At 44.1% G+C, this 2,581-nt stretch overlaps 1 non-coding gene across 1 annotated transcript; it reads right to left on the bottom strand.

Annotated features, from left to right (window-relative positions):
- Positions 1 to 1,755: 1,755 nt before the first annotated feature.
- On the bottom strand, positions 1,756 to 1,851 carry MIR548AP (microRNA 548ap). Its single transcript, NR_049805.1, has one exon. It is a non-coding gene; the product is annotated as a microRNA 548ap (primary transcript).
- Positions 1,852 to 2,581: the final 730 nt, after the last annotated feature.

The raw sequence follows: 2,581 nt of genomic DNA, 5'->3' as shown, positions 1-2,581 counted from the left end.
CCCAAATATACTCTTGTTTGTCTTAGAGACAGTAAGCTAAATCTGATCAGAAATGACTGAAGCAAGTCCAGAGATGCCGACAGATTAGTACTTCTACACAGGCAGTTCTTGTGTGCTGAGGGATGAGATACTTGCAGCAACTTTGTGGCCATTCTCTTAGACCACTGAGTAATAGGCTGTGCTGATAACGACTCATAAAACCTTCAGACACAAATTTTGTAATTGCACCATTATTACAAATTGTATTGTCTGACATTCCAGGTTTCTTGTAAATAACTGATGTAAAGCCTCAATCATTAAAGGGGAGGTTTGAGATAGGATCAAAACTATCTTAGTTCTTTTTGAAAACGTCTCTTGCAGTCAAATTATTCCCCAGGAACGTTTCTGTACTATCAGCATGTTTTAAAAAAAAATCTAGATCACTTCTTTTTTTGAGAAAGGGTCTTGCTCTGTCATCCAGGCTGGAATGCAGTAGCGCAAACATGACTCACTGCAGCTTTGACCTCCCTGGGCTCAGGTGATCCCCCCACTTCAGCCTCTTGAGTAGCTGGGACTACAAGTACACACCACCTCGCCCGGCTAATTTTTCTATTTTTTGTAGAGATGGAGTTTTGCCTTGTCCTGAGCTCAAGGAATCAACCACCTCATCCTCCCAAAGTGCTGGGATTACAGGTGTGAGCCACTGCACCTGGCCATAAGTTCCCTCAGGGGTTTTTCTCAAGTTGCCTACAATAATCATAAATACAGCCTTTTCAGTGGCAGACTTATTCTATGGTCCATGATGGTTTACTGAAAACATAGGTTCCTTCCTGTCAATAACTTTCCATTATACTGTTATAATATAGCCAAGATAATATGGTAAAAATATGTTGACATGATAAATTTTTCCAATAAAATGCATCCTTTGCATGCAGACAATTCATACTTATTAGTAAATAAATTTCACTCTTTGGGCAGTTTCTGTCTAGGTCACCCCTTCAATACCAAGTTTAAGGCACAAGCTGATCTAGCATCACACAGGCAATAAACAAAAAACTATATTGTATCTTCTCTTCAACAGAGAATGAGGTAAGGCTCCCAGGATCCGCATGTCCTGTAAAGCTGACAAGGAGCATGTAGTGTGAGGGCACTTAGTGGGCAGTAGTCATTGAGCTCTTCAAGGATTCCCCAAGAGAACACAGGAGTTGGGTTGGAAGGGAAGACTCCCACAATTCCTAAAACAGTGCTGTAGTTCAAGGATAGTTTTATTCTTAGAAGAGTCCCTAGAAAGTCAAATGATAGCTTGTCGGAAGGATTTAAGGAACTAATAATCCACATGAAGTGCTTAGCACAGCACCCGATGTGTGATAAGCATTCAGTATATGTTAGCTAGTCTTGTGATTTGAAGTGGCGGTAGGATTTCTTAACATCCATGATAACTGTTGGGGCTTCCATCTTGGTATCTGTGCAGCTGCATTCTGTGAGTGACAGTGTTCTTGGGTGGAAGCAGCTGGTACCTAATGGCCATCTGGCACTCTGTGGCCAAGCACAACTCCAGCCCTATAGGGTGGAGCGATTACATCAATAAATAGTGGCTGCATTCACAAAATCCATGGGCCCTGTCTGGGAAGCCAAAAACCTGCTTGACAGCCTGTGCTCTTGTTACAGTAGGTAGCTAGCCAGCCATGAGCAGGGCAGGAGAGGAACCCTCCCAACCACCAGGAATGTCAGGCAACCATCAGGTGATGGTAAAGCATTTGTTACACTGTCTCCCTAAATTAATCTTTAGGTCAGTAAAAAGTAATTGTGGTTTTTGTTATTGGTTTTAATGACAAAGACCGCAATTACTTTTGCACCAACCTAGGAATTGGTCACAGCTGGTGCCAGGGAAAGGCAGTCTCCTAGTAGAGAGAAACACCTGAAACTAGCAATCAGCAGCTTCCCAGTGAGATCTCTAGAGTTGGGTGAGTGGGCTCAAGTATGTACACTAAGGGGCAAAATGACGGAGTTTAACCAGTATATGACCTTCCTCCAGGAACACTGGTAAGGGGAGAATGCCTCAAGTGAGCATGCACACAACTCCAGTTAAATACACTGCACATGTGGCCCCTCCCAAGTGCTGGCAGGCCACTGTGCACCCAGACAGCCCATCCCAAGGAAGAATCAAGAAGAAGAGATGCAGAGCCCGGAAGCATGCCATTGTATAAAACCCCAAGTCAAAGGTCAAGCAGTGCACTTGACTCTCTCAAGTCTCCCGCTTGGCCCTCTTCCAAGTGTACTTTACTTCATTTCGTTCCTGCTGTAAAGCTTTTTAATAAACTTTCACTCCTGCTCTAAAACTTGCCTCTGTCTGTCACTCTGCCTTATGCCCTTTGGTTGAATTCTTTCTTCTGAGGAGGCAAGAATTGAGCTTGTTGCAAACCCATAATGATTTGCCACTGCTATCACTGTCCAGGGCCAAGGAATATCCCTTTCCAGTAGGTGATAACATGGCTCAGTAATGGCTGCCATTTACAAAAATGCAAAAGAGGCCTGGCGCGGTGGCTCACTCCTGTAATCCCAGCGCTTTGGGAGGCCGGGGCAGGTGGATCACCTGAGGTTG

This window comes from Homo sapiens, chromosome 15 (genome assembly GCF_000001405.40).
Source record: "Homo sapiens chromosome 15, GRCh38.p14 Primary Assembly".
NCBI lineage: Eukaryota > Metazoa > Chordata > Mammalia > Primates > Hominidae > Homo > Homo sapiens.
This window is presented reverse-complemented; position numbering and strand designations above follow the sequence as displayed.